This window comes from Homo sapiens, chromosome 13 (assembly GCF_000001405.40).
Source record: "Homo sapiens chromosome 13, GRCh38.p14 Primary Assembly".
NCBI classification, from domain to species: Eukaryota; Metazoa; Chordata; class Mammalia; order Primates; family Hominidae; genus Homo; species Homo sapiens.
The window spans coordinates 77,183,634-77,211,416 of record NC_000013.11 but is presented as its reverse complement, the minus strand read 5'-3'; the positions used below and the strand labels follow the sequence as shown (position 1 = coordinate 77,211,416).

At 36.3% G+C, this 27,783-nt stretch overlaps 1 protein-coding gene across 1 annotated transcript in view, besides 1 other annotated feature; it reads left to right on the top strand.

Moving 5' to 3' along the window:
* MYCBP2 (MYC binding protein 2) overlaps positions 1-27,783 on the top strand; it is a 282,438-nt gene that overhangs the window by 115,678 nt on the left and 138,977 nt on the right. Inside the window, exons 23-32 of the mRNA NM_015057.5 lie at positions 97-250; positions 4,592-4,764; positions 5,819-5,944; positions 6,034-6,161; positions 17,173-17,264; positions 19,604-19,738; positions 21,082-21,165; positions 22,370-22,466; positions 25,354-25,546; positions 26,040-26,314. Of these exons, the coding sequence (NP_055872.4) occupies positions 97-250; positions 4,592-4,764; positions 5,819-5,944; positions 6,034-6,161; positions 17,173-17,264; positions 19,604-19,738; positions 21,082-21,165; positions 22,370-22,466; positions 25,354-25,546; positions 26,040-26,314 (1,457 nt within the window). The remainder of the gene's footprint in view (positions 1-96; positions 251-4,591; positions 4,765-5,818; positions 5,945-6,033; positions 6,162-17,172; positions 17,265-19,603; positions 19,739-21,081; positions 21,166-22,369; positions 22,467-25,353; positions 25,547-26,039; positions 26,315-27,783) is intronic.
* Positions 26,582-26,631: an enhancer, noted in NCBI's record as "active region_7839". NCBI's record gives its function as "activates an Ori minimal core promoter by ATAC-STARR-seq in GM12878 lymphoblastoid cells {active_cell/tissue: GM12878}" and the evidence as "EXISTENCE:reporter gene assay evidence [ECO:0000049][PMID:35858748]".

Genomic DNA, 27,783 nt, shown 5'->3' with positions numbered 1-27,783 from the left:
TCACCTGAGAAATGGAGATAATACTACTTTATGGGTTTTGGAGAATTTAAAAGGGTAATATATATTAAAATTATATATAAATATTTTTTTCTTAAGGCTTGGTACCTGCTTCTATATCAGAACCTCCTCCATTTAAATGCCTTCTGATAAATAAAGTGGATGGGAGTTGTAAAACTTTTAATGACTCAGAACAAGAGGATCTGCAAGGATTTGGTGTGTGTCTTGATCCTGTATATGATGTAATTTGGAGGTAAGCATCTCAGTTTATAAAATAGTCAATAAGTTTTGATGCAGTTATACTCTTATGGTAATATAAACTTTATTTACAGGTGGACTTTTCACATGTGAGTACTCTCCTGTTTATCTAATAACTGCAATTCTGTCTCAGTGATTCACAGGGACCTTTATACTGTAGCATAGTGGTTAAGAGCATGCATTTTAAGCAACACTACCTAGGTTTATCCCAGCTCCACAACTTGCTTTCTGTGTCACCCTGGAGAAGTTACTTTGACTGTGTGCCTCAGTTTTCTCATTTATGAAATGGGGATGCTAATACTACAGAGGTGCATACTAGGTGCCATATAAGTGTTTGCTATTATCATTATAATTATTAATTTTACTGTTGAGAGTTCTGTTGTTATTTTTAGTCTGTCATCAATCCTGTTTATATTGTATAGAATTCATTCTATTTTTTGTTCTCATAATTATTATTAACTATGAGGAGGAAATTATGCCAAAGACAATAAAGAATAAAGAAGATAATTGAGCTTGCCCTTTAAGAATGTGCATTAAAAAATACTCTTACTGGTAGAGAAATATACAGGATTATATGCATTCTGGAAATTATAAAAACATAGAGATAAATAAGGCACAAAAGAGACTCAAGAAATTATGTTGCATTTGTTTGAAATTTATTGTGGTGCTGGGCCGGGTGCGGTGGCTCACGCCTGTAATCCCAGCACTTTGGGAGGCCAAGGCGGGCAGATCACGAGGTCAGGAGATCGAGACCATCCTGGCTAACACAGTGAAACCCTGTCTCTACTAAAAATACGAAAAATTAGCCGGGCGTGGTGGCGGGCACCTGTAATCCCAGCTACTCGGGAGGCTGAGGCAGGAGAATGGCGTGAACCTGGGAGGCGGAATTTGCAGTGAGCCGAGATCGCACCACTGCACTCCAGCCTGGGCGAGACTCTGTCTCAAAAAAAAAAAAAAAGAAAAAAAAATTATTGTGGTGCTTTATATACAAAATGAATAAATAAGTTACCCTTCTTAGTGTTTCTAGCTTTGGATACTAATAGGAGGTGTACCCTGCCATCACCACAGTGGCTCATCACAGGGCTGAGCACTTCTTTCCTTTTGCGGCCGGCCTTAGTAGGCAAGATTCCAGTAAGTTGAAAGGTTGAAGTAGTGTGAGTGAGGAGACTTTTTCTCTGTCTTCCTTCTTCTACCCATGCCTGCTTGCATTCTCATCAGACAGCCAAGTTCTAAGAGGCCATGTGGTAGCAATGGGATAGATGATCTCAAATGTCTTGCCAACTCCTTGGTAATTTTCTTCCGTGTTCCAAAATAGAGATTAATAACGAGGCTTGCATTCAGAGTGAAGAGACTGCTGCACTTCCCAGGTTGCTGGCCAGCTTCCTCTCTTATTTGGGCATTTTATGAGAAGGCGTAGTGGCCAGTATTGAGTTGAGTACATCTCAAATCAATTACATCTCCCTGGCAGCATTGTGCAGGGTAGATGAAATAACAAGAGACTATGGGTGAGTGGTCTTTTGTGATCATTCTTATGAAGACATGAGGTATTAAGAACCAAAGTTAGAATGGTCACAGTGGGATAGAATGGAGGGGATAGAGAGGAGAAAAGATGTAAAGATAGAATTGGCTGCAGTTACTTACCGATTAGAAGTCAATGTTCAAGAGACTTAGTTACCAAAGAGCAGGCTCTGGTTTGGACTTAGGTGTAAATTGATGTTTTACTGTTTTGTAGTTCTTACATGTTTTATTTTTAAATGAAGTAAATTTGCATTAGCAAAACAAAAATAAAAATTGGCAGTGTGGAATCTGTTTCTGGATGCATTCACTAAGTTAGCAATAACAGTATAACTAAGCGTAACAGTAAAAACTTACTTGAACTAGAACCATTTCCGTGGGGTCTTAACAGAACTCTCAAGTATGATGTTCAGCTGGTTGAACCTTGTCTTTTCCATTTATGGTAGTAGCAATGGGACAGATGATCTCAAATGCCCTGCCAGCTCCTTGATCAATTTCTCCATTGTTGGAAAACAGAGATTAAGAGATGTTTTGGTAAAACAGCTGAGAGGTATTTTTCTTTAAATCAGGATCAGAATTTCTGTTATCCTGACTTCTGGCTGCTTTGTGTCTTTTGTGTTTTTCAATGGGGCACTTAAATTTTATAATTATCATATGCATTGCACATCCAATATTAGCTTACTTTGACTTTCCTTCTGGCCTGCATCTGCTTCATTTTATATTCTTTAGGAGCCAACTTTGCCTGAGTAATTAGAAACAACATCTATAAAGAGCAGATAAATGTTAAGAACACCTGTTTTATTTCCCACATACAAATTTACACAAATAATATGTGAATTTGTGTTATTTTTTAAAAAACAAAGCAAAAATACATACAGGAAAAAGGATGGTCATACTCTGTATCTGTTTCTTTTCCCATACCGAATTCCACTAGCCTTCTCTGTGGATCACAAGTATGAAGTTTGATTTATATCATCTGACACCTTTTAAAATGCATGTATTTTTCTTTTTATGTAAATAAAAACATACCTACTCTAAAAGTTAGATTTTTTGCTCAAAAATAATTTAGAGATCTTTCCAAGTCAGTATTTAAAGAACAGCTTCATTATTAAAATTGTGGAATTCTGTAGTCTGGGTATACCAAATATACTTAACTGTTTGCCCATCAGTGAACATTTTAGATTTTTTTTAATATTACGATACTACCTACAATGCTACAGTGAACAAATACACAGGTATCTACACACAGAGTTTTACACACATGTGGAAGTATTTCTGCAAGCTAGCTTTTAAAATGTAGAATTGCTGAGTTAAAAGATAGGCTCACAGAATTGTAAAATGACTGAGGTAAGTCTGAATCACTTTAGAAGTTTATTTTTCCAAGGTTGAGGAGATGCCTGGGAAGAAAAGACAAGCCACAGCAGGATCTGTGCCCTGTACTTTTTCTGAAGAGGTTTGAGGCCTTCAGCATTTAAAGAGGAAAAGAGAGCAGGAGGAGAAAAGGAAAAGAAAAAATGAGAGGATGTGGTCACATTCTTGTAAGGTTTTGATTAGGCTTACTGAATCCACATGTTGCACATGAAAAGGAAGGGGTAGAGGGAACAGTGAATTTTGTATTTGGAGTTAAAGTAAACATAGAGTAGAGGAAGCAGTCAAATACTCATTCATCTGGGGCTGGGGCGGGTGGGGCTTGGTGGGGGGATGGGCAGATAATTTCTAGTATCTTCTTGTCTCTTACCATGAATTTTCCAGAACCAAAAAGAGATTTGAATCCATGGATATTAGAAACTATGTGTTTCTATTATTTACCATCAAGAGAGTTAGTGAAACTGTTGAACACTAAAGACCAAGGGGAAATCTTAAAAGCAACCAGAGAGAAAAGAATGATTACCTAAACAATGAGATCAACAGAACTTCCCAAAAGCAATAATGCAATAATATTAATGCTACTAGTTATAGAAGCTACCATAATATATTTTCTCCCAAATGCTATTTTAAGTGCTTTTTAAAAATAATTTAAAATTTTTTAATTGTGGTAAAAAAACAGTATAAAATTTACCATCTTAATCATTTTGAAAGTCTGCAGTCAGTGGTGTTTAGTGTATTTATGTTATTGTGAAATAGATCATCAGAACTTTTTTTTCTTGGAAAACTGAGACTCTATAGTTATTAAACAATAGCTTGCATCCCTCACTTCCCGACCCCTAAAAGAGGTAAAGAAGTGGAGATAGTTTTTTGAAGTTTTTGTTACAAAAGAGATCAGAGAAATGGGATGATGAAGACGTTGTGGGTTCCTAATAGTTTTTAATTGGTTTTTACTGTTTATTCATATGGTTGAACATCCACATCCATTCTATCTGTGCTTCCTTTCTATGGATAGCATTCCATGTCCTTGCCAATTTTTGCTATGGATTGATTGTTTCTAGCTCTTATACATTGAGGATATTGTAGCTGTGTCTCACAGGTACACTTCACATTTTTCTTCAACTTGTCCTTTGTCTTTAAACTTTTTTAATGGGGTATTTGTTGAGTTTCATATTTATATGTATGTATCAAAACTTTATACAGTCAAGTATTATAATCTACATTACTATTTTCTGTATTAAGTATTATAATCTACGTTACTATTTTCAAATTATTTCACTTTTAGTGATATAGTTTTTTTATATGTTTAGCTTAGATCCAGAAGATAATGAGCTACATTTGTCCTCTTTAAGCTGACTATATTATTTATTCTCTTTGTATCATCAGTTATGTTTTAGGAATTTTTTTTAAAAACAAAACCACATTGAGGTGCTGTAATTATTCTTTTTCTTTAAAGGTTTCGACCAAATACTAGAGAGCTGTGGTGTTACAATGCGGTGGTTGCTGATGCCAGGCTTCCCTCTGCAGCAGACATGCAGTCCAGATGTAGTATCCTAAGTCCTGAACTTGCCTTACCAACAGGATCAAGGGCCCTCACTACCCGATCTCATGCAGCTTTGCACATTTTAGGTAGGGTTGCGATTTGATGTACCATTAATTCACATTAATGTGTGCTGTCCAGGGTTTTTTTTTAGAGTATTTAAATTTATATGTAATTCTGTCTTGTTTGTTAAATAATAATAATGTACAAAATAAGTTAAATCCTCTAAGAGGCTAATTCCACAGAAAACAATACATGAGACCTGTACTAACACTATCAAAGATTTATGTATGCCCAATTATTTAATTTTCACAGAGGTAGACCCTTAAAAATAATGTTTTTGCTCAACTTGAATGTATAAACTTTTAAAGATATGATAAAATTTTCAAGTATATAATATTTAATTTATGTATATTATGTTAAATAAATTCTATAAAATGTAATGAATTTTATATACATCTTCTGTTTCTTCTTATATAACACAGTTTTCCACAGCATATCAACTTCATTCTTATTTAATTACTTTGAGATGTAGTACTTATTTAATTACTTTGAGATGTAGTGCAATATATTATTTTGTAACTGGAAATTTTATATCACTCTATGTAACTATGTATTTTGTTGCTTTTAAAAATGATCCTTAAAAAGACTCATTTTCAGACTCTAGCACTTGCAGGTGTGAAATCATATTCCTAAATATAATTACCATATCATAAATATAACTCTTTGTTTCTTTTTTCTCAAATTTCATTTTGGTTTCTATTGTAGACATCCAAAACTAGTGTTGATTAAGTTTGTGTGACACTAATGTGTCTTCCTCAAATAGCACTTTAAGAATCAAACTAATTTGGAGTTTCATAAAAGGAAGAACCTTGTAAGAATTCAAAGGTTAAGTGATTTCAACTTTTCAGAGATCCAGTTTTGTGTAAAAGGTTGTCGTATGGCAAGTTTAAATATGATCATTAATCAGACAAGGGATAATTTGTATTGGTTTTAAGCATTCTTCCATGAAATGATGTTTAAAGCTTGGAGTAACATTCTGAGTTTATTTATTTTAATTTATCCCCTATAGCATTTAATGTCATCAATACCATAGGACATTTTAATTTCAAGGAGTTAAATTTTGTTTCTTTGTTGTTTTAGGTTGTCTTGATACCTTGGCAGCTATGCAGGACTTAAAAATGGGTGTTGCAAGTACAGAGGAAGAGACTCAAGCAGTAATGAAGGTTTATTCTAAAGAAGATTATAGTGTGGTAAACAGGTTTGAAAGTATGTATACTTCGGTTTAGGAAATGTTGTCTTACAACTGAAATATATATGGATCTTTTAAAACATAGATTATGATTTATATATTCTAGGTCATGGAGGAGGCTGGGGTTATTCTGCCCATTCAGTAGAAGCTATACGTTTCAGTGCCGACACTGATATTTTACTTGGTGGTCTTGGTCTGTTTGGAGGTAGAGGAGAATATACTGCTAAAATTAAGGTAAAGTTCATCAACAATGTTGTCCTTTTTTGTTTGAACATACTGATTTTGACTTAATTTATTATTTTATTATTTAATGTCTAATTTTTTTCCTTTTTAACTGGGTTTATTTTGTTTTTAATGCTTCTTTTTAAAAAGCGATAGAGAAAACATTGCTAAAATCGAATACAGTAATACTAAATTTTTTAAATTTATTTATTTATTATTATTATACTTTAAGTTTTAGGGTACATGTGCACAATGTGCAGGTTAGTTACATATGTATACATGTGCCATGCTGATGCGCTGCACCCACGAACTTGTCATCTAGCATTAGGTATATCTCCCAATGCTATCCCTCCCCCCTCCCCCCACCCCACAACAGTCTCCAGAGTGTGATGTTCCCCTTCCTGTGTCCATGTGTTCTCATTGTTCAATTCCCACCTATGAGTGAGAATATGCGGTGTTTGGTTTTTTGTTCTTGCGATAGTTTACTGAGAATGATGATTTCCAATTTCATCCATGTCCCTACAAAGGACATGAACTCATCATTTTTTATGGCTGCATAGTATTCCATGGTGTATATGTGCCACATTTTCTTAATCCAGTCTATCATTGTTGGACATTTGGGTTGGTTTCAAGTCTTTGCTATTGTGAATAATGCCGCAATAAACATACGTGTGCATGTGTCTTTATAGCAGCATGATTTATAGTCCTTTGGGTATATACCCAGTAATGGGATGGCTGGGTCAAATGGTATTTCTAGTTCTAGATCCCTGAGGAATCGCCACACTGACTTCCACAATGGTTGAACTAGTTTACAGTCCCACCAACAGTGTAAAAGTGTTCCTATTTCTCCACATCCTCTCCAGCACCTGTTGTTTCCTGACTTTTTAATGATTGCCATTCTAACTGGTGTGAGATGGTATCTCATTGTGGTTTTGATTTGCATTTCTCTGATGGCCAGTGATGGTGAGCATTTTTTCAAGTGTTTTTTGGCTGCATAAATGTCTTCTTTTGAGAAGTGTCTGTTCATGTCCTTCACCCACTTTTTGATGGGGTTGTTTGTTTTTTTTCTTGTAAATTGGTTTGAGTTCATTGTAGATTCTGGATATTAGCCCTTTGTCAGATGAGTAGGTTGCAAAAATTTTCTCCCATTTTGTAGGTTGCCTGTTCACTCTGATGGTAGTTTCTTTTGCTGTGCAGAAGCTCTTTAGTTTAATTAGATCCCATTTGTCAATTTTGTCTTTTGTTGCCATTGCTTTTGGTGTTTTAGACAAGAAGTCCTTGCCCATGCCTATGTCCTGAATGGTAATGCCTAGGTTTTCTTCTAGGGTTTTTATGGTTTTAGGTCTAACGTTTAAGTCTTTAATCCATCTTGAATTGATTTTTGTGTAAGGTGTAAGGAAGGGATCCAGTTTCAGCTTTCTACATATGGCTAGCCAGTTTTCCCAGCACCATTTATTAAATAGGGAATCCTTTCCCCATTTCTTGTTTTTCTCAGGTTTGTCAAAGATCAGATAGTTGTAGATATGTGGCATTATTTCTGAGGGCTCTGTTCCGTTCCATTGATCTATATCTCTGTTTTGGTACCAATACCATGCTGTTTTGGTTACTGTAGCCTTGTAGTATAGTTTGAAGTCAGGTAGTGTGATGCCTCCAGCTTTGTTCTTTTGGCTTAGGATTGACTTGGTCTTGCGGGCTCTTTTTTGGTTCCATATGAACTTTAAAGTAGTTTTTTCCAATTCTGTGAAGAAAGTCATTGGTAGCTTGATGGGGATGGCATTGAATCTGTAAATTACCTTGGGCAGTATGGCCATTTTCACGATATTGATTCTTCCTACCCATGAGCATGGGATGTTCTTCCATTTGTTTGTATCCTCTTTTATTTCCTTGAGCAGTGGTTTGTAGTTCTCCTTGAAGAGGTCCTTCCCATCCCTTGTAAGTTGGATTCCTAGGTATTTTATTTTCTTTGAAGCAATTGTGAATGGGAGTTCACTCATGATTTGGCTCTCTGTTTGTCTGTTGTTGGTGTATAAGAATGCTTATGATTTTTGTACATTGATTTTGTATCCTGAGACTTTGCTGAAGTTGTTTATCAGCTTAAGGAGGTTTTGGGCTGAGATGATGGGGTTTTCTAGATATACAATCATGTCGTCTGCAAACAGGGACAATTTGACTTCCTCTTTTCCTAATTGAATACCCTTTATTTCCTTCTCCTGCCTAATTGCCCTGGCCAGAACTTCCAACACTATGTTGAATAGGAGTGGTGAGAGAGGGCATCCCTGTCTTGTGCCAGTTTTCAAAGGGAATGCTTCCAGTTTTTGCCCATTCAGTATGATACTGGCTGTGGGTTTGTCATAGATAGCTCTTATTATTTTGAAATATGTCCCATGAATACCTAATTTATTGAGAGTTTTTAGCATGAAGGGTTGTTGAATTTTGTCAAAGGCCTTTTCTGCATCTGTTGAGATAATCCTGTGGTTTTTGTCTTTGGTTCTGTTTATATGCTGGATTACATTTATTGATTTGCATATATTGAACCATCCTTGCATCCCAGGGATGAAGCCCACTTGATCATGGTGGATAAGCTTTTTGATGTGCTGCTGGATTCGTTTTGCCAGTATTTTATTGAGGATTTTTGCATCAATGTTCATCAAGGATATTGGTCTAAAATTCTCTTTTTTGGTTGTGTCTCTGCCCGGCTTTGGTATCAGGATGATGCTGGCCTCATAAAATGAGTTAGGGAGGATTCCCTCTTTTTCTATTGATTGGAATAGTTTCAGAAGGAATGGTACCAGTTCCTCCTTGTATCTCTGGTAGAATTCGGCTGTGAATCCATCTGGTCCTGGACTCTTTTTGGTTGGTAAGCTGTTGATTATTGCCACAATTTCAGATCCTGTTATTGGTCTATTCAGAGATTCAACTTCTTCCTGGTTTAGTCTTGGGAGAGTGTATGTGTCCAGGAATCCCTTATCCATTTCTTCTAGATTTTCTAGTTTATTTGCGTAGAGGATTTTGTAGTATTCTCTGATGGTAGTTTGTATTTCTGTGGGATCGGTGATGATATCCCCTTTATCATTTTTTATTGCGTCTATTTGATTCTTCTCTCTTTTTTTCTTTATTAGTCTTGTTAGCGGTCTATCAATTTTGTTGATCCTTTCAAAAAACCAGCTCCTGGATTCATTAATTTTTTGAAGGGTTTTTTGTGTCTCTATTTCCTTCAGTTCTCTGATTTTAGTTATTTCTTGCCTTCTGCTAGCTTTTGAATGTGTTTGCTCTTGCTTTTCTAGTTCCTTTAATTATGATGTTAGGGTGTCAATTTTGGATCTTTCCTGCTTCCTCTTGTGGGCATTTAGTGCTATAAATTTCCCTCTACACACTGCTTTGAATGTGTCCCAGAGATTCTGGTATGTTGCGTCTTTGTTCTCGTTGGTTTCAAAGAACATCTTTATTTCTGCCTTCATTTCATTGTGTACCCAGTAGTCATTCAGGAGCAGGTTGTTCAGTTTCCATGTAGTTGAGTGGTTTTGAGTGAGATTCTTAATCCTGAGTTCTAGTTTGATTGCACTGTGGTCTGAGAGACAGTTTGTTATAATTTCTGTTCTTTTACATTTGCTGAGGAGAGCTTTACTTCCAAGTATGTGGTCAATTTTGGAATAGGTGTGGTGTGGTGCTGAAAAAAATGTATATTCTGTTGATTTGGGGTGGAGAGTTCTGTAGATGTCTATTAGGTCCGCTTGGTGCAGAGCTGAGTTCAATTCCTGGATATCCTTGTTGACTTTCTGTCTTGTTGATCTGTCTGATGTTGACAGTGGGGTGTTAAAGTCTCCCTTTATTAATGTGTGGGAGTCTAAGTCTCTTTGTAGGTCACTCAGGACTTGCTTTATGAATCTGGGTGCTCCTGTATTGGGTGCATATATATTTAGGATAGTTAGCTCTTCTTGTTGAATTGATCCCTTTACCATTATGTAATGGCCTTCTTTGTCTCTTTTGATCTTTGTTGGTTTAAAGTCTGTTTTATCAGAGACTAGGATTGCAACCCCTGCCTTTTTTTGTTTTCCATTTGCTTGGTAGATCTTCCTCCATCCTTTTATTTTGAGCCTATATGCGTCTCTGCACGTGAGATGGGTTTCCTGAACACAGCACACTGATGGGTCTTGACTCTTTACCCAATGTGCCAGTCTGTGTCTTTTAATTGGAGCATTTAGTCCATTTACATTTAAAGTTAATATTGTTATGTGTGAATTTGGTCCTGTCATTATGATGTTAGCTGGTTATTTTGCTCGTTAATTGATGCAGTTTCTTCCTAGTCTCGATGGTCTTTACATTTTGGCATGATTTTGCAGTGGCTGGTACCGGTTGTTCCTTTCCATGTTTAGCACTTCCTTCAGGAGCTCTTTTAGGTCAGGCCTGGTGGTGACAAAATCTCTCAGCATTTGCTTGTCTGTAAAGTATTTTATTTCTCCTTCACTTATGAAGCTTAGTTTGGCTGGATATGAAATTCTGGGTTGGAAATTCTTTTCTTAAAGAATGTTGAATATTGGCCCCCACTCTCTTCTGGCTTGTAGAGTTTCTGCTGAGAGATCCGCTGTTAGTCTGATGGGCTTCCCTTTGAGGGTAACCCGACCTTTCTCTCTGGCTGCCCTTAACATTTTTTCCTTCATTTCAACTTTGGTAAATCTGACAATTATGTGCCTTGGAGTTGCTCTTCTCAAGGAGTATCTTTGTGGCGTTCTCTGTATTTCCTGAATCTGAATGTTGGCCTGCCTTGCTAGATTGGGGAAGTTCTCCTGGATAATATCCTGCAGAGTGTTTTCCAACTTGGTTCCATTCTCCCCATCACTTTCAGGTACACCAATCAGACGTAGATTTGGTCTTTTCACATAGTCCCATATTTCTTGGAGGCTTTGTTCGTTTCTTTTTATTCTTTTTTCTCTAAACTTCCCTTCTCGCTTCACTTCATTTATTTCATCTTCCATCGCTGATACCCTTTCTTCCAGTTGATCTCATCGGCTCCTGAGGCTTCTGCATTCTTCACGTAGTTCTCGAGCCTTGGTTTTCATCTCCATCAGCTCCTTTAAGCACTTCTCTGTATTGGTTATTCTAGTTATACATTCTTCTAAATTTTTTTCAAAGTTTTCAACTTCTTTGCCTTTGGTTTGAATGTCCTCCCGTAGCTCAGAGTAATTTGATCATCTGAAGCCTTCTTCTCTCAGCTCGTCAAAGTCATTCTCCATCCAGCTTTGTTCCGTTGCTGGTGAGGAACTGTGTTTCTTTGGAGGAGGAGAGTTGCTCTGCTTTTTAGAGTTTCCAGTTTTTCTGCTCTGTTTTTTCCCCATCTTTGTGGTTTTATCGACTTTTGGTCTTTGATGATGGTGATGTACAGATGGGTTTTTGGTGTGGATGTCCTTTCTGTTTGTTAGTTTTCCTTTTAACAGACAGGACCCTCAGCTGCAGGTCTGTTGGAGTACCAGGCAGTGTGAGGTGTCAGTCTGCCCCTGCTGTGGGGTGCCTCCCAGTTAGGCTGCTGGAGGGTCAGGGGTCAGGGACCCACTTGAGGAGGCAGTCTGCCCTTTCTCAGATCTCCAGCTGTGTGCTGGGAGAACCACTGCTCTCTTCAAAGCTGTCAGACAGGGACATTTAAGTCTGCAGAGGTTACTGCTGTCTTTTTGTTTGTCTGTGCCCTGCCCCCAGAGGTGGAGCCTACAGAGGCAGGCAGGCCTCCTTGAGCTGTGGTGGGCTCCACCCAGTTGGAGCTTCTTGGCTGCTTTGTTTACCTAAGCAAGCCTGGGCAATGGCGGGCGCCCCTCCCCCAGCCTCGCTGCCGCCTTGCAGTTTGATCTCAGACTGCTGTGCTAGCAATCAGCGAGACTCCATGAGCGTAGGACCCTCCGAGTCAGGTGCAGGATATAATCTCCTGGTGTGCCGTTTTTTAAGCCCGTCAGAAAAGTGCAGTATTCAGGTGGGAGTGACCCGATTTTCCAGGTGCCGTCTGTCACCCCTTTCTTTGACTAGGAAAGGGAACTCCCTGACCCCTTGCGCTTCCCGAGTGAGGCAATGCCTCGCCCTGCTTCAGCTCGCGCATGGTGCGCACACCCACTGTCCTGCTCCCACTGTCTGGCACTCCCTAGTGAGATGAACCCGGTACCTCAGATGGAAATGCAGAAATCACCCGTCTTCTGTGTTGCTCACGCTGGGAGCTGTAGACCGGAGCTGTTCCTATTCAGCCATCTTGCCTCCTCCCCCCCTACAGTAATACTAAATTAATAACTCATTAAAAAAATCAAAATTCTGTAAGAAGGGAAGAAATGAAAGGAAAATTATTTTCAACAATTTACCACTGAAGAAAGACTATATCTCAGTCCTTTCTGTGGAACTTCTGGTGGCCTAGCAATACCAGTGCCTTTTTATGTGGCTACTTTCTTATAGCCATTTTAATGACAGAGGAGGCACAACTGTTTAGGGACATTTTGATGTAGTATGTAAACAGACATCTTCACCCCAGGAGTGGAGACCGGGAGGAGTGAGAGATAGTGTTAGGGGAGGATTCCATCTGGTAGGCCAACTAAAAATCATTGAGAGTCATATGTTACCACACCTATTCGTATCCAAAAGGGCCAACAAATTATCCTAAACAAAGTATATGTTCATTCTTTGAATATTCACTAATAGCTTGAATGTTCTGCTTCTCAAATTACCTGATTTTGCTCTAAAAGTGAAAGAGAAAACTATAGTTTCTGCCTGAATTTCAATAGCAGGCTTCACAAAAAAATCTCGATTAAATGTCATCTGTTCAGGAGGTATTTTCTTAGTTCTCTCAATAATATCTAAAAATGATATCAATATGTTAACACTCTTCTTCATAATGCTGGTTTCCAAGGACATTCCCCATGGAGGCCCAACCAGAACTGACAAACTTAAAGAAATATTTGCTTATTTCTGGTTATAGTTGGAATACATGCTAAAAAAGCAGATAATGTAAGAATGAATAAAGTAAAAATTTAAAGCTCCTATAGTTATATGGAGTATAGTGATAGAATAATGATTAGGACTCTTGTAGCACATATATTTTGATAATAAGAAAAATAGTAGTTTGGCTCATTTCAGTGCAACTGCTTTAAAATGGTTATTTTAGGATGTCTTGATTCATCCTCACGTTAGAGAAGCAACCTCAATGTGTTATGTAGTTCTATTTGACAATGTCTAATAAGCTCATCAGGAGGATATTTTTTTTTCTAGCTCTAAGAGATTTTTTCTTTTCGGAATAGTGAACAACGTAGTGGACCTTATCTTCAAACACTGTAGTATATAGAATTATGGAGGCCTTCCATATATGTTGTTTTTATATTGGCCCTATTTTTCTTTTTCAAACTCAAATTTTACCTCACTCCTCCTATTGTCTGGAAATGATCTTGCCTTTTGTATTCAATTATCCAGTGAGTGGGCTAAGGCCTTTCAACAGTAGTCAGTCTTTTTTTTTCCTTCCCTTCACCTCTCTGTAATGTATGCATTTGTTAAGCCCTTCTGTATTTTTTTGTTTTGTTTTGTTTTCATACCTGTAGTTTTTTCTTCTATCTCTTTGTAGGTTCATCCCCTTCCACCTGGCCACTGAATGTAGGAGTTCCTCAAAGACCCAGCCCTAGGCCCTCTTTCTTCACATATTCGTATATGCATTCTCTTTTGAGCCCAGAGTTTTAATAGCCATCAGCATACCATAATCCCCAAATTTGTATCTCCAACTCAGACTTCTTTGATGCATTTTCATGTAAATATGTTAAAGGCACATCAGTTATCAGTCATAATATCTCAACTGAATTCATGCTCTTCCACTGATCTCTCTCTCTCATGATTAGTACCATCCACCATATGCTTGATACATAGGCCGGAAATCTAGACATTTTTCTTGATAGGCCTCCTATATCTCTTTCTTCTCCACAAAAAAGACTTTTCTACCACTACCCTAGGCAAAGGTATTTGTCTTGGACTAGCCACCTAGATAGTCTCTGTACATATTCTTTCTATACTTTCTGTCTCCATTCTCTCTCTTACCATTCCTACTTGAGCCTACTCCAGTCAGATTTTTGCCCCCACCACTGACATTGCTCTTGTCAAGGACACTGATGACTTTCATATTGCTAAATTCAATAGTCAAGCCTCAGCTCTCATCTTCCTTAACCAGTCAGCTGAATTTAACCCAATTGAGCTCTTCTTTGAAATACTTTCTTCTCTTGTCCCCCACGACACTACACTTCATTTTTCTTTTGTCCCACTGACTGTTCTTCTTAGTCTCCTGCTGGTTGCTCATCATCTTCCTGACTTCTAAATGTTGGAGTGCCAAGAACTCAGTTTTTGACATCTTTTAAAAGTATTCTCTTCCTCATAGTGGTCCAGCCTCATGGACATTTATCTCTGATGACTTTTAAATTTATAAACCTCTTCTCTGACCTTTAAACCAATATGTACAACAGCCTACGCTGTGTCTCCACGTGACTCTCTGATAGGCATTTTGGAGGTAACATATTCAATACTATGCTTCTGATGATCTGCCTAAACCTGCTATCCTCATGTTCTTCCCCATCCCAGTTAACTGACTCAGCATGGAGTTAACTTCATTCTTCTGTTTCCTCAGGCCAAAAATCTTGGAGTCATCCTTGATTCTACTCTTTCTTTTACACACATCCACTTCGGGAGCAAATATTATCGTTTCCACTTTCAAAATAAATCCCGTATCTAACCACTTCTGAAAACTGCCACTGCTATCAGGTTGGGTCATGCCACAGCCATTCTCATTTGTATTATTACAGTAGCCTCCCAACTTGTGTTCTACGTCTGTCCTCACCCCATTTGTTCTGTTCTGAGTGTGGCAGTGATTCTCTTAAAATGTACAACAGATTGCATCATTGTCTCTTCAGAATCCTGTAGTGTCTTCCTATGTGAGAATGAGAACCAAAAGCCTTAGAAGGACCTACAAAGTCCCCATCAGAACTGGCTGTCATCACCTCTCTGACCTTTTGTTCTACTAGTTGTTTCACTCTAATCCAGTGACACTGGCCTGCTTATTGTTCCTCAGACATTCCAGGCACAGTCAAATCTCAGTACCTCTTCACTTGCTGTTTCCTCATAACTACAGCTCTCTTCACTTCAGCACCTACATAGCCCACTTCCCCATCACCTTCAGAGCTTCATTCCCTGGTAAGCCTACTTAAAACTGTAAATTCAATTCCCAACCATAGACTTACTCCCAATAGCCCCCAATTCTTTGATTGTATTGTTTGCCCCTTTATGCCCAATTTCTAGAACTGTGCTTGGCATACAGTATGTGTTCAAAAATATTGGTTGAATGTAAATACAGGAGTCAGATTGGGGACAAATTATTAAGAACCTTCATATCATGCTGTGGAGGAGATGAGAAACCAAGGAATAATTTTAGATTAAGAAAGTATTCTGATAAGATATTTTTATAAGGGTACTAAGGGTCATGAAACAAATACAAAAATCCTCAACTTTGTGGAATATGGGTTAGAAGAAGGAGAGAATGGAGATAAGACTAATTAGTTGTTGAAATATTCCAGCCAGCAATAGGGAATATGGTTGAATTGACAAGCTTTGGTACCAGTAAGAGAATAGATACAGTAATGGCAGAGAAATATGGAAAAATGATTATTTCGGACTATTTTTTTTTAAGAGTCTCTTTGGTAGCCCACACTGGAGTGCAGTGATGCCATCTTGGCTCTCTGCAGCCTCTGCCTCCTGGGTTCAAGCAATTCTTCTGCCTCAGCTTCCCGAGTAGCTGGGACTACAGGCATGTGCCACCACGCCCAGCTAATTTTTGTATTTTTAGTAGAGACGGGGTTTCACCATGTTGACCAGGCTGGTGTCAAACTCGTGACCTCATATGATCTGCCTGCCTCAGCCTCCCAAAGTGCTAGGATTACAGGTGTGAGCCACCAGGCCTGGCCTATTTCAGACTTTTTATCTAAGAGATTAGGTGAATGAAAGACCATTAACCAGAACAGAGAAGGCAGGAAGAAGGTATAGAACTAGTAGGACAAAGGGAATCCAATGACTGTTGAGAATAAGAGCTGAGCTGGAGAAAGATTTCTAAGTCATTAGCATATAATTTAAAAATTTAGACACCTAGCACAGTACTTGTCCAGTAAATTTTAATGCATTTTAATCTTTATCTGCCTCTCTTGCAATTCACCTTCCATAATTATCCAGAGGAAAAAGGTTTTCTTAAAAAAAAAAAGGACATTTTTTAAAAAGACCTCTTCTTCATAATTCTTATTTTCACTTAATTTCATAACCTTTTTGTATTGGATATCTTTTCTGTTTTTTTCTTACCCAGAGGATCTTCCCCTCTTTTTTAAGAGCCATTTGTTTCATGCTTTTCATCTATCTTTTTCTCATGCCATATTACTTTGAACTATATTTTGTTACCTATTGTTTTTAAGGATTCTTATGTTGCTCTTCTCTCTCTGTAGCTAATATTTCTCTACCCTTTTTTATTGTTTGTTTTTTTAAGAATTCTACAGTATTCACTTACTTTTTAAAAGTACTGTGAGATGGGAACTGTTAGTATCCACCCACCTTTTATGGATGAGGAAACTAGGTCCCAGGATCTCAGTTAGTAAGTGATGAAGCAACATTCTACCTCATTTAGAATGAGGTAGAATCTCACTTAGTGAGAGACTCACTTAGTTAAAATTTTTTGTTGGAGTTCTCTCACCTTTTTCAGATGCACATATTAGGTACAAAACTTGTATAGAACTATTTAGAGCATTTGATGTAAATAGATGAATATATAAATTAGGAAAACAGAGATTAATGTAGACCATAAAACCTTGTTTCCTAATTTAAATACATATGTTTGTGTATTTCACATAGTAATGTTAAAAAAGCAGGTACTCTGATTTTTTACATTTGGTATGGTCCAGCATACATTCATCATGCACAAAATTATGAACACATTGTTCATCAGATATGTATAGCTGATTTATATAAATGATTGTCTTTCTCCTTTCCTTAGCTGTTTGAATTGGGTCCTGATGGAGGAGATCATGAAACTGATGGTGACCTTCTTGCAGAGACTGATGTATTGGCTTATGACTGTGCTGCTAGGTAAATAATTTGTGCATTATTCATTGTAACTCTTGCATACTTAATATTAAAAATTTATTATAAATGAATAAACATACTTTAAAAGGAAGTTTTAAATCTGCTATGAATATCAAATACTTGAGAAATTAAATTATATATTAAGCAATATAAGTATTGCTTTCAAAAATGCTGAATTAAAACTAATATACTTCATAAATTTATTTCATAAGTCAACTGTTTCAATATTGAAGATAAAAATGGAAATATGCATATATTTTATACACCTTTACTTTCATGCATCTCTTACGGAATACCTAGTTTGCTGGTGTTCTAGTAATAATACAGTTATTTATTACTCCTAGCATTACAGGTAATAAATAATTAGCGTCAAGTGGTCATGTTTGACCATAATTCAGATTACCCATGTACTCTGACATCATGCTGCTAGAATATATTTGATAATAACACACTTGGGGAGGTGACTAGCTTTACTGAAACCTTTTGGGAGTTTATAAAAATTAGTATGTTTATTTATGAAGGTTCATTAAGTAAGAGGATACTTACACTTTATCAGTCCTCTCTACGTAATCCTAAGAATTATCTCAATATTGTGTTATGATCAGTGTTCCCTGGTTTGAAGCAGGGAATATTATTATAAGAAAAATTATAAACTGAGCTTCATAGTAGTAATAGTGTGCTATGTTTCCCAACAATAACTATGTTAGGAAAACCTTGTAGGTTTTCTTGCTAGTGAAAATGTATATTTTCAGAAACAAGGATGATCGTAAGATACTGACTTTGCTTGTACAAGATATAAATACTTTTGAAAACAAAAGAGTAAATCTAAAGAAAATTTTGACTATTTCTTAGGCATTAACTAATATCGCAAGATTTTTTTAGTAACCTTTAGTGTTTTATACAAATGAATATTAGGGAAAATTTTAAGAAAGCTAATTGATTAATTTTCAGCAAAGCCTTAAGGTGCCATTGTCATTTGCCGTATTTATTTATTTCTTTATTTATTCATTTATTAATTTTTATTTTTGAGACAGAGTCTCACTCCATCACCTAGGCTGGAGTGCAGTGGTGTGATCTCAACTCACTGCAACCTCTGCCTCCCGGATTTAAGCGATTCTCATGCCTCAGCCTCCTGAGTAGTTGGGACTACAGTCGCATGCCACCAGGCCCGGCTAATGTTTGTATTTTTAGTAGAGATGGGGTTTTACCATGCTGACCAGGCTGGCCTTGAACTCCTGACCTCAAGTGATCCTCCTGCCTTGGCCTCTGAAAGTGCTGGGATTACAGGAATGAGCCACTGTGCCTGGCTGCCATTTGTTTTTGACCATATGAGTTTGAGTCGAAAATATAAAGCACAGTTTCATTTATAGAGAATCGTCTAGGATTTCTTCATTAGCTTATATACAAAGCCCAGACTCCTAAGGCATTGGGAGCATTGAAGGATTTCCATAACATCCAGCATCTTTTTTGACTTTCTACCACTACTCTTCTACAGCTGTCTTAATGCATTAATGAAATTAATAATGAACACCTTGTCATTTCCTGACCTCTTTTGTACTTCCATACCTCTACAGATTTTTTCATGACATTCTCCTGCTTCTTTAAATGCCCTTTATTCTTCTTTCAATTCCAGCTACAACCAATAAACATTCCTTCCACTCTGTTACCTAGTACTTTGTAACTTGTTTATATCCTTTAGAAGATGCCCTTATTTATTGTCTTTTTTCTTCTTCTAAATTAATAATGTTTGTATAGATATTATGTGACAGACTCCAAACACCTATCTGACTTAATTCATTCTAAAGGACAACTCTATGAGCAGGATATTATTTTCACCACAGTTTTCAGGTGAAGAAGCTAAGGTACTGAGAGGATAGAGTAACTTGCCCTGCGTTGCCCTGCTAGCAGGTCACAGAGCTGGGCCTTGAACCCAGGCTGCCTGACTCCAGGGCCATTTTCTTAATATGCTGCCTTTCAAAACTATTTAGCTGAATGAATGAGCTTTAAAACTAAAGTTCAGATTTTTATTTTCCAGCAAAATTTGAATGTTTTTTAATATCAGTTTAAAACATTCTAATTTTAATATGAAAGTTTTATAACATTTAAGGATATTGTAGAATTCAAGAAGAGGAGGAAGAAATGTAATTCTATCACCATAACATAAATAACTATATTTGCTTGCATTCTTGTCCAGACTTCTTAGAGTGTTTTTAATGTTGTTTGATAAGAATTTTATAATACAGTTAGTTTCATGTTTTTGTTCACAAGGGATTTTGAAAAAATAAATATATGTGACAGAGAAGTAAGAAAATATTGTTTTTGACTCACTAATTTTTTCTCAGAGAAAAATATGCAATGATGTTTGATGAGCCTGTTCTCCTGCAAGCTGGGTGGTGGTATGTGGCATGGGCCCGAGTGTCAGGACCCAGCAGTGACTGTGGATCTCATGGACAGGCATCTATTACCACAGATGATGGGTAAGTAAATGCCCAAGTGTTACTTAAGCAATACTTATTTTTGTTAGAGGAATATTGTTTTGAAAATTCAGAGTACTTTCAGCAGGATTCAAAAGCTTAGGAAGACTAGAGCATAATATAACTGCTAAAAATTAAATTCATGTAACCTCATGCCAAATTGAGGTCTAGACAGAACAAGGAGATAATAAGACCACTGTACTTTGCTCCTGTCAGATGGTATTTGTATATATTTCTGGGTATTACATTGTTTACGAGCTTGATTACCAAATTAGAAATTATATAGAGGAAGGTGACAAGGAAAATGAGGAGTTTGGAACCATAAAAAAGAAGTAGATATGTGATATTAAATTTGATAGTGCATGAGAAAACAGTTTAAAATTTCAAAGCTTCAGCAATGTGTGTTATTTTAATAAAATATAGGGAAAATTTTGCTGTTTTAAAATAACTTTCACGTATAGAGTACTTTTCAGTTCATATTCTTATATTTTATCTGATTTGATGCCCTCAATAGCTTTGTGAAGCAGTTATTAGCCCCATTTTATACTCCAGGGACTAGAGAAATAAAAAGGTGAAATTATTTGCTATTTCCTGAGAGTCATGTGGTTAAAACCAAGGTCAGACCTGTAACCTGTTGACTCTAAATCCAACATTTCAATATTCTATTACTATGATTTATGTATTCTAAAGGACTATCATTTGTAAGATAAATTCAGTTTATTCTTGATTACTCCTGAGCATAAACTATTTGAAATCAGTTGAAGTTATATAACAGTATATATTCCAGTGCAGGTCAATTCATAACAAAGCTGACCAAAAAAAGAAATAGACTTATTTGTGAGGTGAATTTCCTGTTGCTGAATATTCAAGGAGACTACTGTAGAAAAATCACATCTGTTGTTATGTGCATCAACTTAAGAATGTCTTTAGAACTAAGTGACTACTTTGACCCTGGACTGTATGATTTTCATAGACAGTTCATTCAGACTTGGAATGTCATGGCACACTGAGGCTAAAGCTTATCATGCAGCTAGTCAAGCAGATATTATACTACTTAGTTGTAAGTAGAAATTTTAGAAGTTTACTGCTGTGGTTAAAGCTGAGTTGGAGAGCTAGGAGGGACAGGACAGCTACTCATTTAGGAGTCCTAATCACGTTCAGTTCTTTCATTTTACTGACTAACCCATTCAGAGCTAGAATGAAAATCTAGAAAATACCTTTTTGCTTTTCTTTATGTAAAAGAGTGAATCATTTTCATTGACATAAGATTTGAAAACATGTTTCTTAAATTTCTTATTTCCTGTAATGATCATGTTGTTTTTGGTATCATTGTTTTCTCTTCTTAGGGTTGTTTTCCAGTTCAAGAGTTCAAAGAAATCAAATAATGGTACAGATGTTAATGCGGGTCAGATACCTCAGTTATTATACAGGTATTTAGCATATTTATACTGAATTAGTATGGTTTATTATTTTGCTATAATGAAGTAGAATCATTACAAAACGTGGCATAATAGGGAGAAATTATTTGAAGCATTCAGCAAATTATAATATGCTGGTAGAACTATAAATATATTTAACAAAAACAGTTAATATTTTGTATATTTTTAAACATTTTCCATACAGGCTTAACTTTAAACTTTGCCTGATTACTCAGATTATCTGTATTATACCAATAACAATATTTTACTGACTTTAAAAAAAATCTATCCATTGATTTTCTTACTAATTTCAAATGTTGTAAAAGAATAAAATTTGTCTTGGAGAAGTGAGATTGCAGGGAAGATGGGGAGGACTATAGATGCAGGCCTGGTTGATATATTGTAGTCTCATAAGACTGATAAAATGAGTTGGAAAATTCCCTACTGTTGGTAAATTTTCACCTTTAGCTAAAATACCAAATAATAACTTGCTCATATAATATTTACTATATTTTTAACATTATTGAAAAATTTTAACTTACAATAATTTAAGCATGTATAAAGGCATATGCCTGTGTTTACCTTATTTATTTCTAGACTACTGCAATACTTTTAGAATAAAGAATTCAAATGGATATAAACCGTTACTGAAAAATGTTGTCATTCGTTAAGCAGTAAAAAATCAAAGGAAATGGTCTAGAACTGTGATTCTATCTCCCTATCTTTCTTTCTGGTAATCACTTTGTGGTTACAAACATTATTTTTCCCCAAAAGGTTTTTTCGTTTGTTTGGTTTTTATGCACCGTGCAATCTGTTATAGTTACTGTTTGTAATATGTAGCTCTACAAACATAACGTGTTGCATTGGACTACTCCCAGGTACTCACTGGTTGAATAACTTTTAAATAACAGCATTAATAGTAGCATTACTAGAGAATATAAGTTATATGTTATATACATTATATATGTTCTCTAAGAAGAGGAAAAAGCCTCTACTACTCGGTCTTGCGAAGGTAGGATTTAAAGGAAGTGCCCATATGCTAAAAACTTTGTTTAGCTTGGAAAAATGTTTCAAAAAAGCCCTGTATTGGCATTACCTGGCAAAAAAATTTAAATATATAATTTATTTTCCCATTCAAAAATGTATAATATACTTTAAAAAGAAAAAATGACATTGGACTTTCTAACATAATTTTATATGTGTCTACTGCCTTTAGACTTCCAACCAGTGATGGCAGTGCTTCAAAAGGCAAACAGCAAACCAGTGAACCTGTACACATTTTAAAGAGGTCTTTTGCAAGAACTGTCTCAGTGGTAAGCCATGTTTTAAAAAATTTCAGCTTTTCTCTTCAGTCCTCAGATACATTTTGATGTTTAGAGTTTAGCTGCTCTTGTAAGTTTATCTTAGCCTAGATTTATAAACTCAGATTTGGTTTTGTATTCACATTTATATTCTAGACCACAGATAAAGTATACTTTAAATCATAGAAAAATGGAGGTGTTGGCCTATGATTTTAACATGACCAGATGAATTGGCCTTGCTGTTTTTGAAACAAATAACGATTTGCTTTTCTAGTAAATCATATATGAATGCATATGCTGAATGAATTAGAAAATGAAGGAAAAGTTAAGGATGGTGCTGGCCCAAAAAAGCGTGATTACTACTTGAGGAACTAGGTGGAAGAGTTGCATATCTAACTAGGAAGTTTGTTGAACCACTTGCCATCCCCATTGTACACATGAAGAAGCACAGTGCCATTGAGGTTAACAGTGCAGAATGGAAAGTCAACATGATGTAAATAAATGAAAGTATAAATTAAGGTCTTGATCTCTCATGTATTAATTGAGGATTCTTACGTATGTTACCTAAGTAAATTACATCATAGCATTTTGAATTTCTAATGAGATAAGGGGTGTAAGATGTTTTTGGAACTGTAAGGCACCATCTGAATGTGATTTATTAATATAGCTAGTAGTCTTTCATATTAGTAAAATGCATAGGAAGAATGTTTCTTTCCCTTTTAAATTTATTTTTCAACCCACCAAGTGAATATATATTCCTGGTAGGAATGAGATAAAAGTATCCTAAAAGTATATGAAAGATTTTTCTCCCATTCTCATGATCACCATATATACCTACTATTTACATTTTGGTGTGTATCTTCCCAGACCTTTTTTTTTTTTTTTTTTTGGTGAGGCAGAGTCTCGCTCTGTCGCCCAGGCTGGAGTGCAGTGGCACGATCTTGGCTCACTGCAACCTCCGCGTCCTGAGTTCAAGCAATTCTCCTGCCTCAGCCTCCTGAGTAGCTGGGATTACAGGCGCCTGCCACCACGCCCAGCTAATTTTTGTATTTTTAGTAGAGAGGGGGTTTCACCATGTTGGTGGTGGTCTCGAACCCCTGACCTCGAACAGGCTGGTCTCGAACCCCTGACCTCATGACCCACCCGCCTCGGCCTCCCAAAGTGCTGGGATTACAGGTGTGAGCCACCGCACCCGGCCTTCCCAGACCATTTTTATATGCAAAAAAACTTATTAGTACGTATCAAATACAGGATGCTCTACAACATGCTTGCTTGTTTCTTACGATACTTACAGTTTTCATCTTTTTTAGAAAATTTCGTATTATATATCATGGACATCCTTCCCTGGCAGTACATTTGGCTCTGTCAGTCTTCTCCGTTTGCGTACCATTATTCTAATTTATTCAATCTGATATCTATCAAAGAACCACTTTGATTCTCATTTTTTGTTATTTCATCTTGCTTCATGAGCATCTATACACATACATCTTTAAATACTTGTGTACTTATGTGCATACTTCTACTGGAAATATGCCCATTTAAAGTTTGGTATATCCTCTCAAAGTTGACCTTCCAAAAGAGCCATGGCAGTTTGTAGAGCTTGTGCTTTGAATAAAAGACTATGAGAACTTTGGCTTCTTGGTAACTTTGCATCCTATTAGTCTTAAGTTGAGTTTGGTATCTTTTGATTCAAATAAGGATCTTTGACTCTGTTATGCTTTCTTTAGTGATCTCACTTTTCTGTGCTTGGTAACCCCTTTGTATTTATGTTTAAGTGGTTTTGTGGCCATTAGGTAATTGTAGACTTTATATACAAAACTTATTCAGTCATTTCTTTAAAAGGTAAACTATAGGGCTTAGCACATTGGCTCACGCCTATAATCCCAGCACTTTTGGAGGCCGAGGCAGGAGGATTGCTTGAGCTCAGGAGTTCAAGACCAGCCAGGGCAATATAGTGAAACCCCCATCTAAAAAAACTTAAAAATTAGCTGGGTATGGTGGTGCGCACTTGTAGTCCCAGCTGCTTGGGAGGCTGAGGGGGTGGTGAGAGGATAGCTTGAGTCCAGGAGGTTGAGGTTGCAGTGACCCGTGATCACACCATTGCATTCCAGTCTGGGTGATAGAGGAAGACTCTATCTCAAAAAAAAAAAAAAAAAAAAATTGAATCTATAAACTCGTTTTCAGGAGCTCTGGGATTTGGTGGGAATGGGGCAGTAAGTGCTCTGCTTTGAGATTCAGGTGGTATCTGTTGTCATTTAACCATGATAAAACCAGAAGACTAGAACTGCAAAGAAAATCTACCATCTTAAACTCATATGCTAGAATTTTAAATAATCAAAATAGGAATTTTTTAGTATTTTCTAGTCAATTTTTATCTTCTATTAATGTATTTATCAAAAATTGACTGTAGTTTGTATTGCAAATTTTAATATATAGACATAAAATAAGTTATTTGATACTGTTACTGATATCTAACACTAAAACTCTATTTTATTTTTTACTACAGTGACTGTAAAAAGCTTTATTTTTCTTTCAAGTAAACATGCATTGTTTTATAAGTGCTTCTCATTTTTCCCTTGTTTATATGATAAGCTAGATAGCTGGGTAGCAGGAACACTGAAAAATTTATTTTTAAATAGGTAAATATTGAAGAATGTTGTTTTTAGAAATGCTTAACTACTTTACCTTTTTTGTAACAAACTTCAAAGTTACTGTTGAGGGTAATTTAATAAATGAACTATAAAAGTGTCTTGGGCTCAGTAAAAAAAATTCAATTAAAAAACTCAGTAAAAAAATTCAAAAGAAAGTTTTGAAGTTGTCTACCATTGCCTTTCCATTTGATTCCGTTTATGGTATCATTTGAATTAATTGTTGTCTGTTTTTTCATATTCTGGATTAGGAATGTTTTGAGTCATTGTTGAGTATTCTTCACTGGAGCTGGACCACCTTAGTCTTAGGAGTTGAAGAACTTAGAGGATTAAAAGGATTCCAGTTCACAGCTACACTCCTAGATTTAGAGAGACTGCGCTTTGTGGGTACCTGTTGTCTGAGGTTATTGCGTGTCTATACCTGTGAAATTTACCCAGTGTCAGGTATGATGCATTTTTTTTAAATGACTATAGGGAGAAAATATTAGAGACATTGAGAAGATTTACTTTGAGATAACTGAGAGTTTATGCCCCCCAGCTGCATTTAAGCTGCTTCTAAAATGAGGGGAGAAAGTCAGCTTGCTATGATGCTTATGTATTTGCTTATAAAGAGTAAAATAGATTACATGTCATTCTGATACAAAAAGTAATAGTGGGCCAAAGTTAAATAATCTAATAAAGTTTAATTTTAAACAAATTCTGTCAAATAGAAATATTTTGAACAAGCAATTTGGACTTAAATGCTGAAACTAGGTTTTTATTCCCCCTTCCATTTAGATTAAAAATTGGGACTACACTTAATCTCTAAGTTGTTTCATTTCTAAGATATTAGTACTTGTGATACTTAGCTGTATAGGGAATTACTGAATTATATTGATTGTTTTCATGCATATTTAATATTTTGCTTAATTACCAATCTGCTTTTTCCCCCTCAAAGCTACAGGAAAAGCAGTTGTAGAAGAAACTAGCAAATTAGCAGAGTGTATTGGAAAAACCAGAACTTTGTTAAGAAAAATTTTATCAGAAGGAGTTGATCACTGCATGGTGAAATTGGATAATGATCCTCAAGGATATCTCAGTCAACCCTTGAGTCTTCTAGAAGCTGTCCTTCAGGAATGTCATAATACTTTCACTGCCTGCTTTCATTCTTTCTACCCAACTCCTGCCTTACAGTGGGCTTGCCTTTGTGATCTGCTGAATTGTTTGGATCAGGTAATTTAAGTTTGTAAAATGTTAGTTGAAAATCTGATATATTGCTTAATACTCTTCAAGAAAATAAATTGCAGTTGCCATATCTTCTTAACTTGTATAAAAGATAAATTAGGAAATCATTCGGTGTACATGACTTATATAAGCAAAGTTTAAAATTTTTTAAATCTGCTTCATCATCTTTTAGTTACAAAATTGGTAGGCACATTGTGCAGTTGCTGATTGGTTTTTGAATTGGAGTGAGTGATTCTGAGAGAGGGAGAGAGGAAAAGAACCATAGTGACCAGGGGAGAGCAGGGATAGCACCAGGAGGCCCCCGCCACCCTCATCTGTGAGAACAGGAAGGAGAGAGAGCTGAGAGAACAGTCATACTAGCATTGTTCATTCATTCATGAGGAAGCCACAACCTTTGTAAACCTTTATGCACCAAGTCACAGAGTTTCACAACACCTGAGGCAAAACACTGACAGAACTACAGGGAGAAATAGATTCACATTGACAGCTGGGGACTTTAACACTCCTCTTTCAGTAATTAATAGAGGAACTAGGCCAAAAACATCAGCGATGCAGATTTGAACAGTACTGTCAACCATCTTGATCTGACATTTACAAAACAGGATATGAAACTGCAAAATACATATTCTTTTCAAGTACACATGATTTTTAAAAGAAATATTTGGGACCATTCACTAAGGTAGATCATATGCTAGACCATAAAATGTCTTAATAAATTTCAAAAGATTAAAATGTGAAAGAATATATTTTCAGACCACAGTAGAATTACAGTAAAAATCAATAGCAAAGGATATCCAGAAAAAGCACCAAACATTTGGAAAATGACAGCACTTCTAAGTAAGCAGTTGATCAAAGAAGAAGTTATAAAGGAAATTTTAAAATGTTTCACATAGAAAGATAAAAACATAATATCAGAATTTGTGGGATTTAGCTAAAGCATTGCTTAAAAGAGCTCTTTATACCCTTAAATGCTTATATGAAGAAGAAAGGTTTAAAATCAGTGACCTAAGCTGCTATGTTAAGAATCTAGAAGGAAAAGCAAATCTAACCCAAAGTTAGAAGGAAGGAAGGAAATAATAAAGATAAGAGCAGAAATCAATGAAATAGAAAGTAGAGAAAATTAACACAGCTAAAAGTTGGTTTTTTGAAGAAAAAAAGTTGGTAAACTCCTAGCAAACCTGACTGGGAGAGAAGAGAGAAAGAAAAAACATGAAATACCATAATCAAAAGTGAAATAGGGGTTCACCGGGCACGGTGGCTCATGCCTGTAATCCCAGCACTTTGGGAGGCTGAGGTGGGTGGATCACTTGAGGTCAGGAGTTCGAGACCAGCCTAACATGGCAAAACTCAGTCTCTACCAAAAATACAAAAATTAGCCAGGCATGGTGGTGCACAGCTGTAATCTCAGCTACTCGGGAGGCTGAGGCACGAGAATTGCTTGAAGGCGGGAGGTGAAG